This window comes from Homo sapiens, chromosome 10 (assembly GCF_000001405.40).
Source record: "Homo sapiens chromosome 10, GRCh38.p14 Primary Assembly".
In the NCBI taxonomy this organism is placed as follows: Eukaryota; Metazoa; Chordata; class Mammalia; order Primates; family Hominidae; genus Homo; species Homo sapiens.
This window is the reverse complement of record NC_000010.11, coordinates 32,013,250-32,026,830: the sequence shown is the minus strand read 5'-3', so window position 1 is coordinate 32,026,830 and position 13,581 is coordinate 32,013,250. Positions and strand designations below refer to the sequence as shown.

General features: G+C 37.9%; 1 protein-coding gene and 1 long non-coding RNA gene across 4 annotated transcripts in view, besides 1 other annotated feature; one reads left to right on the top strand and one right to left on the bottom strand.

The window, feature by feature from the left end:
• The window catches only part of KIF5B (kinesin family member 5B), a 47,411-nt gene that overhangs the window by 29,595 nt on the left and 4,235 nt on the right, over positions 1–13,581 (top strand). For 2 of the 3 annotated variants that reach the window (NM_004521.3, XM_047425203.1), the window contains 10 exons: positions 3,795–3,983; positions 4,574–4,691; positions 5,544–5,605; positions 5,700–5,809; positions 6,872–6,973; positions 8,269–8,329; positions 8,444–8,515; positions 8,675–8,779; positions 9,472–9,688; positions 11,172–11,322. In NM_004521.3, coding sequence (NP_004512.1) covers positions 3,795–3,983; positions 4,574–4,691; positions 5,544–5,605; positions 5,700–5,809; positions 6,872–6,973; positions 8,269–8,329; positions 8,444–8,515; positions 8,675–8,779; positions 9,472–9,688; positions 11,172–11,302 — 1,167 coding nt within the window. In that variant the 3' untranslated portion in view covers positions 11,303–11,322. Of the gene's footprint in view, positions 1–3,794; positions 3,984–4,573; positions 4,692–5,543; positions 5,606–5,699; positions 5,810–6,871; positions 6,974–8,268; positions 8,330–8,443; positions 8,516–8,674; positions 8,780–9,471; positions 9,689–11,171; positions 11,325–13,581 lie in introns of those variants that run through there. The other variant, XM_047425202.1, reaches the window with a different exon arrangement.
• Positions 6,432–13,581, bottom strand: part of LOC107984219 (uncharacterized) — a 97,548-nt gene continuing 90,398 nt past the window's right edge. The window contains exon 3 of the long non-coding RNA XR_001747415.2: positions 6,432–8,805. This is a non-coding gene — a long non-coding RNA (uncharacterized LOC107984219). The remainder of the gene's footprint in view (positions 8,806–13,581) is intronic.
• Positions 7,618–8,817: an enhancer, noted in NCBI's record as "CDK7 strongly-dependent group 2 enhancer chr10:32306942-32308141 (GRCh37/hg19 assembly coordinates)". NCBI's record gives its function as "activates an origin of replication core promoter dependent on BRD2, BRD4, P300/CBP, MED14 and CDK7 cofactors, with strong dependence on CDK7, by STARR-seq in HCT116 cells {active_cell/tissue: HCT116}" and the evidence as "EXISTENCE:reporter gene assay evidence [ECO:0000049][PMID:35650434]".

Sequence of the window (13,581 nt, the reverse complement as noted above, 5' to 3'; positions counted from 1 at the left end):
TAGAGAAATCTCTAGGATGGAAAAGTACATTTATTTCATATCGCAGAACACCAGAGAGATGTTGTTCAAGATTTGCTTTGTAGATTTGCAACTTTTTAGACAAATCTTATATTTTATGTTCAAATAATTATGATTTAAGTTAAAAAGTGTAAAGAGAGAGTGGAAATGGTTTATGTTTAGTGGCAGAGGGATGAAATCCAGGTTCCATGACTACTAGATTTTTTTTTCCACTATACCATAGCAGTTTGAAAATAAGTCGTCTTTGCAAATAGTTATTCTAATTAAAAAAAAAAAAGGATCCTCAGTATTTTTGTCATTAACAAGTAATTCTTTTCCTCTCATCATATATAAGCTCTGTTAGAGCGTTACTTTTTTTTTTTTTTTTTTTTTTTTGAGACGGAATCTCACTGTGTCTCCCAGGCTGGAGTGCAGTAGTGCGATCTTGGCTCACTGCAAGCTCCGCCTCCCGGGTTCATGCCATTCTCCCACCTCGGCCTCCCGAGTAGCTAGGATTACAGGCGTGTGCCACCACGCCTGGATAATTTTGTTTTTGTATTTTTAGTAGAGATGGAGTTTCACCGTGTTAGCCAGGATGGTCTTGATCTCCTGACCTCTTTATCTGCCCACCTCGGCCTCCCAGAGTGCTGGGATTACAGGCATGAGCCACTGCGCCCGGCCTGTTGTTGTTCTTAAGTTACAGTTTACAGTTTTATGTTACAGTTTACAATGATTGTTGTACTCATTGTATTCTATAGTTGTGTGGATTTTAAGGAGTGCATAATATTATAGGTCCGGTATTTAGAATAGTTCCCACACCACCCTAACAAATTCCCAGTGTTTTTGCTATTCACCTCTACTTCTTGAACTTCTGGCAACCACTGATGTTTTTACTATCTTTATAGTATTGCTGTTTCCAAAATGTTATATAGTTGGAATCATACAGTATGTATATGTAGCCCTTTCAGCTAGTTTCTTTCACTTACCAGTATGCATTTAAGATTCTTCCATGGCTTTTCATGGCTTGATCATTTTTTTAAATTACTAAATTATATTCCATGATATGAATGTACCATGGTTTGTTTATCCATTCACCTATGTGGTTACTTTGAGGTTTTGGCAATTAATGAACAAAGCTGCTATAAACATTCATGTGTAGGCTGAGCATGGTGGCTCATGCCTGTAATCCCAGCACTTCGGGAGGCCGAGGCGGGCAGATCACTTGAGGCTAGGAGTTTGAGACCAGCCTGGCCAAAGTGGTGAAGTCCCATCTCTACAAAAAATAAAAAAACTAGCCAGGCATAGTGGTGCACGCCTATAGTCCCAGCTATTTGGGAGGCTAAGGCACGAGAATTGCTTGAGCCCAGGAAGTGGAGGTTGCAGTGAGCCAAGATGGTACCACTGCACTCCTTCCTAGGTGACAGAGTGAGACTCTGTCTCCAAAAAAAATAATAATAATTCATGTGTAAGTTATTCTTTGGACATAAATTTTCAGTTCAGTTGAGTAAAAATACCTAGAAGTGCTAGGTTGTACGTTATGACTATGTTAGCTTTGTAAGGAACTCCCAAATGGTCTTCCAAAGTGGTGGAAACATTTTGCATTCCTATCAGCCATGAATGAGAGTCTGCTGTTCCACATCATTGCCAGTGTTTGCTCTTGTCAGTTTCTTGGGATTTTACTAATGTATGGTGTTATTTTATTGTCATTTTAATTTGCAGTTGTGTTTTTTCTTATTGTTGAGGTTTTCTTTTTCTTTGAGACGGAGTCTCGCTCTGTCACCCAGGCTGGAGTGCAGTGGCGTGATTTTGGCCCACCATAACCTCCGCCTCCTGGGTTCAAGTGATTCTTCTGCCTCAGCCTGCCAAATAGCTGGGAACACAGGCGCGTACCACCACGCCTGGTTAATTTTTATATTTTTAGTAGAGATGGGATTTCACCATATTGTCCAGGCTGGTTTCGAACTCCTGACTACAGGTGGTCCGCCTGCCTCAGCCTCCCAAAGTGCTGGTACTACAGGCATGAGCCACTGCGCCTGGCCCTGTTGTTGAGTTTTGTTTTGTTTTATTTTGAGATGGAGTCTCGCTCTGTCGCCTAGGTTGGAGTGCAGTGGCATGATCTCGGCTCACTGCAAGCTCCTCTTCCTGGGTTCAAGCAATTCTTCTGCCTCAGCCTCCCGAGTAGCTGGGACTACAGGCTCCCACTACCACACCTGGCTAATTTTTTGTATTTTTAGTAGCAACTGGGTTTCGCCATATTGGCCAGGCTGGTCTTGAACTCCTGACCTCAGGTGATCTGCCCGCGTCAGCCTCCCAAATTGCTGGGATTACAGGCGTGAGCCACCGTACCTGGCCTCCTATTGTTGAGTTTTAAGAGTTCTTCGGCCGGGCGCGGTGGCTCACGCCTGTAATCCCAGCACTTTGGGAGGCCGAGGCGGGCGGATCACGAGGTCAGGAGATCAAGACCATCCTGGCTAAAACGGTGAAACCCCGTCTCTACTAAAAATACAAAAAATTAGCCGGGCGTAGTGGCGGGCGCCTGTAGTCCCAGCTACTTGGGAGGCTGAGGCAGGAGAATGGCGTGAACCCGGGAGGCGGAGCTTGCAGTGAGCCGAGATCCCGCCACTGCACTCCAGCCTGGGCGACAGAGCGAGACTCCGTCTCAAAAAAAAAAAAAAAAAAAAAAAAAAGAGTTCTTCATATGTTTTGGATATAAGTCTTTTATCAGATAGTGTTTTGCATTATTTCTCTGTGTCTTGTTTTTTTTTTTTTGTTTTTTTTTTTTACTCTCAACGTCATTTTTTGAGACTAAAAATTTTTAATTTTAATGAGGTCCAACTTACCAAGTTTTACATTAATAGATTGTGTTTTTGGTATTGTATTTAAAAACTTGTCACCAAACCCAATATCACCTAGATTTTCTCCTGTGTTAAAAGTTTTTTTTTCAGTTTTGCATTTACATTTAGATCTATGATCCATTTGGAGTTAATTTTTCTGAAAGGGGTAAGGTGTGTACCAGGATTCATTGTTTCACATCTGGATGTCCAGTTGAAGAGACTGTCCTCCCTCCATTAAATTGCCTTTGCACCTTTGTCAGAGATCAGTTGACTGTATTTTGTGGTTTTATTCCTGGGCTCTTTATTCTGTTCTGTTAACCTGTTTATCTGTTCTTTGCCAGCACTGTACTGTTTTGATTATTATAGCTTTACAGTAAGTTGCATAGTGTCAAGTCCTGTGACTTTGTTTGTCCTTAGTGTTGTGCTAGCTATTCAGGGTCTTTTGACTTTACATGTAAACTTAATCATGTCATCTGCACAGTTTTATTTCTTCCTGAAGGTGAAGGAATATACAGTGACCACAATTCCTTCTGGTTGAGCTTAAAGTTCATCCTTTCCCTGCCACCTAAACATCCTCTTGTTAAATTTTAAGCTGAACGTGCACATGATTAACAATGAATTTACTGAAGAGGTCCTGTAAAGAGGAAGTGAAAAAATTGAAAGAGGCAGAATTTATTAGTTTGGTTGTATTTTTGTGTTTTCTTTAGGTTTACATTTATTTATTTTTCTTGTTGGCATGTATTAACATTATTCTCAGTTTTTAAAAAAAGGAAGGCAAAAAGTAAGCTGTATTTATTTACCTTTCGTTGAAAACAGTAATAAAAGAAAAAAATAAGATCCAGACTTTGTATGAATATTGAGTAATACTAAAATATATTTTATAAAAAGATTTTATAGCCTAATTGGGAAAACACACATTGAACATTTTTGGCTTTAATTTTTTATTTTACTTTTTCCTTACAGCAGCCTGAGGGAACTGGCATGATAGATGAAGAGTTCACTGTTGCAAGACTCTACATTAGCAAAATGAAGTCAGAAGTAAAAACCATGGTGAAACGTTGCAAGCAGTTAGAAAGCACACAAACTGAGAGCAACAAAAAAATGGAAGAAAATGAAAAGGAGTTAGCAGCATGTCAGCTTCGTATCTCTCAAGTATGTTATAGAACAAAGTTTATTCATTTTTTTGAAACAGCCACATAGAAATTTTATTTATTATACAAGTTTTCAGAAAAATGTGTGTCTATAGGTGAAATTTAGTTGTTTTTTTCCTAGTCTAGCTGCAGTAAATTTGAATGATTTAACTGAGTTATATTTGCCTAACATAAATATGGGTTATGTATAGAAATTTACCAGAATGATGTGACTGGTGGTAACTTGTTAAAGACTTCAGAATTCCAGGGTGGGCAAAACTGCAGGGAACCAGTTTCCTGGCTTGGCAACTGAATGAATGGGGCCATTCACCACTATCAGAATTTCACAAGGAGGGAAGATGGTAACGTTAGATGGTGGTATCTGTAAAATTAGTATTTCATATTTGAGTCTTCAGTGCCTTAGTTTGCAAGTTATGATCACCAATGAATTAATTGATTACATTCTTTAACATTTCAAAATTGGCTCCTGAATATTTTAGTTTTAAATATTCCCAAATTTATCATATATAGATAATGAAATGTTTACTGTCAAATATTCTTAAAGTGTATGCATATGTTTTCCACTTCATATCAGTATATTTTTTCCAAAAGCATGAAGCCAAAATCAAGTCATTGACTGAATACCTTCAAAATGTGGAACAAAAGAAAAGACAGTTGGAGGAATCTGTCGATGCCCTCAGTGAAGAACTAGTCCAGCTTCGAGCACAAGGTATAGCTTCCAACTGTTTATGAGTTACATCTGTGTTCTTATTTTAGTATAATTGTAGTAAACTTAATATTCACACTGAAAGAAATAGTAGGAATATGGCTGATTTCGAATGGTAAACAAATCATACATATTAATGTTGCTTTGAAACATTTTTTTGTTGTTGTTTTGAGACGGCGTCTTCACTCTGTTGCCCAGGCTGGAGTGCAGTGGCACTATCTTGACTCACTGCAACCTCCACCTCCTGGGTTCCAGTGATTCTCCTGCTGCAGCCTCCCTAGTAGCTAGGACCACAGGCACATGCCCCCACGCCTGGCTAATTTTTTACCTTTTTTGTAGAGACAGGGCTTCACCGTGTTACGCAGGATGGTCTTGATCTCCTGACCTCGTGATCTGCCTGCCTTGGCCTCCCAAAGTGCTGGGATTACAGGCATGAGCCACTGTGCCTGTCAAAACATATATATATATATTTTTAAGATTTTGTTTGAATATGGAAATAGCCAATCTGGGGATTTCCCACAGTTACGAAGCGGGGTGTGTGTGTGTGTGTGTCTTAACATAGGGGACTTAGGAGTTATCTCATTTCTTTACCATTCCCTTAACTAATCTGTTCTGGATTAGGCCAAAAAAAAAAAAACCAAACAAACCATAAAGGAATACATAATACCAACACAATGGATGTAACTTGTATACTAGTCTACATGTCATTGAACTTGGAGAGCAGGTGACATTTGGGTAATTTGAAGTTGAATATTGCTAAGGAAAATGCTTATTGTAAAATCCATTTGCTCCTTGGTTTATATGAGGAACCTTAAAGGCTTATTTCACTCTTCTATTTTCTCTCTATTCAAACAGAGAAAGTCCATGAAATGGAAAAGGAGCACTTAAATAAGGTTCAGACTGCAAATGAAGTTAAGGCAAGTTTGATGTCACATTTCTAACAGCTTTAATTAATCAGTATTAATTTTGATTAGTCTGACTTTAACATCCTTTTCCCCCCCAAAATTTTAGCAAGCTGTTGAACAGCAGATCCAGAGCCATAGAGAAACTCATCAAAAACAGATCAGTAGTTTGAGAGATGAAGTAGAAGCAAAAGCAAAACTTATTACTGATCTTCAAGAGTAAGTATTATACTTCTCTAGTTAGGAGGAAAGAATCGGTTACTGATGGTCATGGTATATATTCTTATTAGAAACCTGCAGTTTTCATCAAAATTACATTTTTATCTTGGAAAATAAAGAATTTTCTCATTTATGAGTAAAACTTCTAAATTCCAGGTGAAATTTTTGAGGCTTTTTTTTAGGTCTTTTGATCTAAATTATTCAGTAAAAGAAAAAAATCCCCAACCTAAGTCTATTATTGCATACCACAGTCTTCTCCAAATCCTTTATTTAGTTTCCTTTTTTAAAAAAATTCTTGGCTGGGTGCAGTGGCTGATGGCCTGTGACCCCAGTGCTTTGGGAGGCTGGGGTGGGAGGATCACTAGAAGTCAGGAGTTCAAGACCAGCTGGGCAACATAGTGAGACTCCATCTCTACAAAAAATAATTTTTTAAATTAGCTGAGCTTGGTGGCACATGCCTGTAGTCCCAGTGACCCAGGAGGCTGTGGCACGAGGATTGCTTGAGTATTGGAATCTGAGGCTGAAGTGAGCTATGATTGTACTACAGCCTGGGTGACAGAGCGAGACCCTGACTCAAAATTCTTAACTGGGAAAAACTTTTCTGGAAATTCTATGGATTTTCAAAGGTTTTTTTTTTTTTAAGTTGTCATCTTAGTTTATCTAGAAGCAATTTCCCTGCCTCCATAACCATGTGCACATACATAGAGTTTATGGAAGTCAGAGTTTGCAACAATTTGAGTAGGAACCAAGAAGAGAATAACATAACAAAATAATGATGAGGTTTGGGGCGTAGGTCTTACTATGAATACCTGATGGAAGTAGGCATAAGGATTCAGGAAGATGAAAGACAGAGGAGAACAGAATCATGATTTCAAACCAAAATACGAAAAATTTTGTATGTCCACAAGTAGCCAGGTCCCTTTCCTCTTTTCCTCCATAGGGTATAGGATAACAGAAAAGTCCTTGATGAGATTATAGAATTTAAAAGTTTGGAAATTTTAATGATGACATTGAGAAAACTGTGATATTGATACTGTGTTAATTATTTTTTTCTTTCGTCAGCCAAAACCAGAAAATGATGTTAGAGCAGGAACGTCTAAGAGTAGAACATGAGAAGTTGAAAGCCACAGATCAGGAAAAGAGCAGAAAACTACATGAACTTACGTGAGTAATTGTTTTTAATTAAAGTTTAAAAATAAAAGCTAAATTAGAGGATTATAGGCATTACCTTTGGATATAGCCAGTGGATACATATTTTACTTTGTATGGGCTAAAGGATTTTTTCTTAAATCCACTGAGTTGGTTTGATTTATATCTAAATACTTGGAATATATACTTGCATTTGAGTGAAAGCAAGGTCTTATATTTCATTGTGGTTAAGATTAAGGTTTCTCTTTATTAATCTGCTTGCTGTTTCTTTATCTCCATATTACTTCAGGATCCAGCATAAAAATGAACCTAAAACAATATATTAAGTAACTTCGAAGATTTTAAGATCTAACACAAAAACTGAGTTTTTGTTAAATTTTCTCTTGCATAAAAGAGCATTGTGGTGTTTAGCCTTGCCATTTTGAACAGAGGTTTTCATGGTTTACCTTTTCTCATTTTCTCAAAACTCAGTTTTCTAGAATCTTAGCAGGTAGAAAGTGCATGATTATAATTTTTCACATACCTTGAGTTTGTGAGACAATTTGCAAATCAACTGATATTGTTAGGATAGTTAGAACATCAGGACCAGTTCAGAGTGGATTATATGAAGATTCTGCTAACTTGCAGCTGTAATTTTGTTTAGAATACTTGTAATGTAAAATATTTTAGTCTTTGACAGTTTATAATCTATAATTAATCAGTATCATTTTGGATAAATAGCAGTATAATACATGTGGCATATTTTAAAATATAAATTATAGAACTATTCCTTATTCTTTGAATTCTGCCACATTTTATTTCATCTCTTCCATTGCTATATATGGAATGTATAACAATAGACTGTTGTTTAGAAGGCATATGAAAATTTTTTGAAATTGCAAAGCTGCAGTGGCTCACACCCATAATCTCAGCACTTTGGGAGGCCAGGGCAGGAGAATCAGTTGAGCCCAGTGTTTGAGAATCAGCCTAGGCAATATAGTGAGACCCCGTCTCTACAAAAATTTTTTTAGACAGGGCTGATTGTACATGCCTGTAGTCCCAGCTATTTGGGAGACGAGGTGAGGAGGATCACTTGAGCCCAGGAGGTTGAGGTTGCAGTGAGCAGTGTTTGGGACAGAAACTCTGTGTCAAAAAAAAAAAAATTTTTTTTTTGAAAGACAGCACAGGTAAATTGTTTAAAATAGGCATCTTGTATTTATTTAAATTTAAGAATTTATCCTTTCAGACACAAAATATTTTATTCAACTCTCATGCTAAGTACAATATACAGAATAAAATTTGAAAATATATGTTTGTTCTTCTACTGTTAGGGTTATGCAAGATAGACGAGAACAAGCAAGACAAGACTTGAAGGGTTTGGAAGAGACAGTGGTAAGAAAAACATGAAAATAAACAGGATTGGGAAATATTTTGTGGGTTTTTTCTACCATGATTATTCTAAATTTAAAGTCTGAGCTCCAAAAATATCGCTGTTCTTAATCCAAGGCAAAAGAACTTCAGACTTTACACAACCTGCGCAAACTCTTTGTTCAGGACCTGGCTACAAGAGTTAAAAAGGTAATGTAACTATGCCGAGGTAGGCGTTTGCATAAATGGTGCTTACTTCTAGGTAATTATTTGTATTCAAAGTGAAATAACTTTACAGTCACGTCAATTTTTGTATAGTTAAGCTTAGTTTTTTTTAATTTTTTTGTAATACTTACCTTCTTTTCTCAGAGTGCTGAGATTGATTCTGATGACACCGGAGGCAGCGCTGCTCAGAAGCAAAAAATCTCCTTTCTTGAAAATAATCTTGAACAGCTCACTAAAGTGCACAAACAGGTACTAAAGAGTATATTTTCTGGTAGCTGCAAGATAGTAAAAATCAAAAATTGAGGATTGGCAAGTGAGTATTTCAATCTTTCAGAGTCCTCAGGAATTTTTATACCCTGAGCCATTTTATCAGAAATTATATAAAGAAACCATAAGTAACTTTTAGAGGAGTTAATATTTTTAACAACGTTATTATCAAAAGAGGCAGTGAAAACATGTATTCTCATTTTCCCTTTAGGATTTTAAGACTGTGCATTTTCATAATTTATTCATGGTAATTTTGAAATCTCTACTACACAAGACTGCAGTTAAAGTACTGCAAAGTCTTTTGGGGAGAGTGGTCTTTTTATACCTAATACCCCAGTGTGTCAGACATAATGACGCAGTTTTCATTTAACCAGATTAGTTGTCTTACTGAAGAAACATAGCACTATCTTGTAATGTATTGTCTTTGCCTAGTAGAGGGAAAGAACAATTCTCCCCCTAAAAAATTAAAGGAAATTATACCTTTGTGAATAAACTAGATGTGTGCACGCTATGTATAGATGGATGTATTCCTTGCGTGTTTCTGCCTAAATTAGATAAATGGGAAACAATATAAAATGCAGTTTTACTTTTCTAAAGAGCAATTATGAAATGCTCATACTTTTTCAAGTCATCCTGTTAAATCTGGAATCCTTGTTTTCTTTGTGTACGTTTAGTTGGTACGTGATAATGCAGATCTCCGCTGTGAACTTCCTAAGTTGGAAAAGCGACTTCGAGCTACAGCTGAGAGAGTGAAAGCTTTGGAATCAGCACTGAAAGAAGCTAAAGAAAATGCATCTCGTGATCGCAAACGCTATCAGCAAGAAGTAGATCGCATAAAGGAAGCAGTCAGGTCAAAGAATATGGCCAGAAGAGGGCATTCTGCACAGATTGGTTAGTAGAACACATTAAAACCTTTAAACCTTGCTCAATTTGAATGCTTTCATTTAGTGGAAAACGTAATCCGAATTTTATGTGTTGTCATGGTGCATCTGTCTCTATTTTCTAACTTAGCAGAGTGGCACTGTTGGGAAAGAGGAATAATCACATTAGCAGAAAAAGAAGATAAATGAGAACTAGAGAAGCAAGCAAGAATGGTCATGGAATGGAGAAACTATATAGAGCAATATTATTAAAGCCAAGAGAATTGCAAGAAAATAAGCCATCAGCAATGATTTAACGTTTAAGAATAATCATTGGTGGCTGGGCGCAGCGGCTCACGCCTGTAATCCCAACACTTTGGGAGGTCGAGGCGGGTGGATCACCTGAGGTCAGAAGTTCGAGACCAGCCTAACATGGTGAAACCCTGTCTCTACTAAATAAAAAAAATTAGCCAGGCATGGTGGTGAACGCCTGTAACCCAGCAACTTGGGAGGCTGAGGCAGGAGAATCGCTGGAACCTGGGAAGTGGAGATTGCAATGAGCCGAGATTGCAATGAGCCAAGATTGCACCATTGCACTCCGGCCTGGGTGACGAGCGAGACTCCATCTCAAAAAACAAACAAACAAACAAACAAAAATTGGTGCAGGAAGTGTTTTTTTTGTGTTTTATTTATTTATTTATTTTTTGCTTGTTTTTTGAGATGGAGTTTCACTCTTGTTGCACAGGCTGGAGTGCAATGGCGTGATCTCGGCTCACTGCAACCTCTGCCTCCTGGGTTCAAGCGATTCTCCTGCCTCAGCCTCCCTAGTAGCTGGGATTGAAGGTGCAAGCCACCATGCCCAGCTAATTTTGTATTTTTAGTAGAGACAGGGTTTCTCCTTGTTGGTCAGGCTGGTCTCGTACTCCTGACCTCAGATGATCCACCTGCCTCGGCCTCCCAAAGTGCTGGGATTACAGGCATGAGCCACTGCCCAGCCATTTTTTTTGTTTGTTTGTTTGCTTGTTTTTTATGACACAGGGTCTTGCTTGTCACCCATGCTAGACTGCAGTGGTGCAATTATGGCTCACTGCAGCCCCAGCCTCCCAGGGTCATGCAATCCTCCCACCTCAGCCTTCCAAGTAGCTGGGACTACAGGTGCACGCCACCACACCTAGCTAATTTTTTTATATTCTGTAGAGACAGGGTTTTGCCTTATTGCCTAGTCTGGTCTTGAATTCCTGGACCCAAATGATCCACCCACCTCAGGCTCTCAAAGTGCTGGGATTACACAGGTATGAGCCACTACGCCTGGCCAGGAAGATTTTTAAAGGCTAAGAATTGTATAGGTCCTAGAGAAAAGGATGTTACAGAAAAGAAAAAGTGATGGAGAAACAAAAAGGCAAAGAAAAACAAAACATTTGGGAATTTGTTGTGAATAAGAGAAGAAACCTTAACAGTCATTGCAGTCACATCTTAAACTTTATTCTAAAGTCTGTCTTTATTTTTCATATTAGCTAAACCTATTCGTCCCGGGCAACATCCAGCAGCTTCTCCAACTCACCCAAGTGCAATTCGTGGAGGAGGTGCATTTGTTCAGAACAGCCAGCCAGTGGCAGTGCGAGGTGGAGGAGGCAAACAAGTGTAATCGTTTATACATACCCACAGGTTTGTTATTTATATCTGGCTTTTCATATCTGTTTGTGGAAAATTGGTTGTTAAATAGGTTTTTTGGTTTTAAAAAATTCTCACATTAGTGTTATGATTTTTTTAACTTAAGCATTATAAAAGTAATTTAGTTTGATCTTTTTGTGTAGTTTAGATCATACTATATATTCAAATTTGTGGTCTTAATTGTTTTGAAATCTAGCATTGGACCATTTGTAATAGCTTTTGATACTGTGTCTAATGGATGTACCATGGTTTATAAACATTCCTTTCCTTTTGGCTAGACATGTAATTATATTAATTTTTTCCATAATTGAAATTTTCAAAAACCAAAATTTTCATATATGAAATTTGAAACATCTTTTTTTTTTTTTCTTTTTCTTTTTGAGATGGAATCTCACTCTTGTCGCCCAGCCTGGAGTGCAATGGCGTGATCTCAGCTCACTGCAACCTCTGGCTCCTGGGTTCAAGCGATACCCCTGCCTCAGCCTCCCAAACTGGGATTACAGGCGCCTGCCACCATGCCTGGCTAATTTTTGTGTTTTTAGTAGAGACGAGGGGTTTCACCATGTTGGTCAGGCTGGTCTCAAACTCCTGACTTCAGGCGATCTGCCCGCCTCGGCCTCCCAAAGTGCTGGAATTAGAGGCGTGAGCCACCGCGCCCGACCTGAAACATCTCCTTGTATTCCCTAACCTGTTAGAGATTATTTCCAGAAGGTTCCCAGAAATGCAATTACAAGGAAATATGAACATTTTTAAGGCTCTTGCTACATATTAACACATTGGTTTCTAGAAAGACTGCACCAAATTGCTTATGAGCCCAGCTTACTAACAGATTTCTGAGTTTTATTTATAATTATATAAGTAATATCTGTTCTTTGTAGGGCATAAAACAGTCACAAATTAGAAAAAATCTAGAGATACTACACAATATACTATCTCTCTCTCTCTCTCTCTCTTTCTGGAGCTTTCTGTATTAGTTTTTAAATTTAAAAGTTTAAACTGTTGATAACTATTGTAATAGACTCCACTTATTCTACTACATATGCTGCTTCGGAGCCTGCTTTTTTTTCCGGCCCCCTGCCCCCACAAACCCCACACCCCCCTGCCCCACTCCGAGACGGAGCCTCGTTCTTGTTGCCCAGGCTGACATGCAGTGGGGTGATCTTGGCTCACCGCAACCTCTGCTTCCCAGGTTGAAGCGATTCTCCTGCCTCAGCCTCCCAAGTAGCTGGGATTACAGGCGTGCACCACCACACCGGCTAATTTTGTATTTTGTAGCCTGCTTTTTAAACTTAGCAATATATTCGGAACACTTTCTTCTACAACGTGATTGGTTAGTGGTTGCCTAATAATTGGTCATATAGCAGCAACTCTGATTGTAACTAACTCTTCAGGAAGTCCCTGATGTGTGTATGTGCTTTGGAAATAAAAAATACTAGATAATTATGAAATGATCAGCTGTTTCTGACAAATACTAAAGCTAGTTTATTTTAATGTTGCTTGTTTATACTTCGACATTTTGCATAATACTGGCTCTAAGTTGAGTAGAGAATTAAGAAATATTCTGAAGGATTCACATTTCTAGCAATTTTAAACGTTTTGTTCACACAATGTAGGATTTAAAACAGTGGTAGAGTGAAAAGAACAGGGACTATGGAGTTCCATCCAAGTTGGAATCCTGACTACTTTTATGAACTTGAGCAGATAAACTTTTTAATAGTTTTTTTCTCATTCTGACTTGTTTTACAGTACTTCATAAAAATTATGGATTTATTGCTTAACTATTTAATGAATCTCTAAAATAACATTTTTCTACATAGCCACAATATTATCACACCCAGTAAGATTATATTTTTAATATTATTTAATACCATTCCATATTCAGATTTTTCCAATTTCTTTTTCACTATCCTGTACAGCTGGTTTGTCTAAACCAGAGTACAATTCAGGACTGCTGTTTGCGTTTAGTTTTATCCCTTAAATCTCTTCTGATCTTGAATGAGCACCCTCTTTAGTGATATTGACTTACTGAGTAGGCCCAGTTATCTTGAGGGTATAACACCTGTGTCTGATTGTTTTTATGTGTAGTCACCTTGTTCTCCCTCTATTTCTATGCAAAAGCATTGATTAGACTCAGCATAAACATTTTTGACAAAGTTATGTCATAGATAATATGTACTTAATATCAGTAGACATACAATAGCTGGTTTTCATGATAATTAGAGATAACTCCTGTGTTTTTCCCCTTTGGACTCA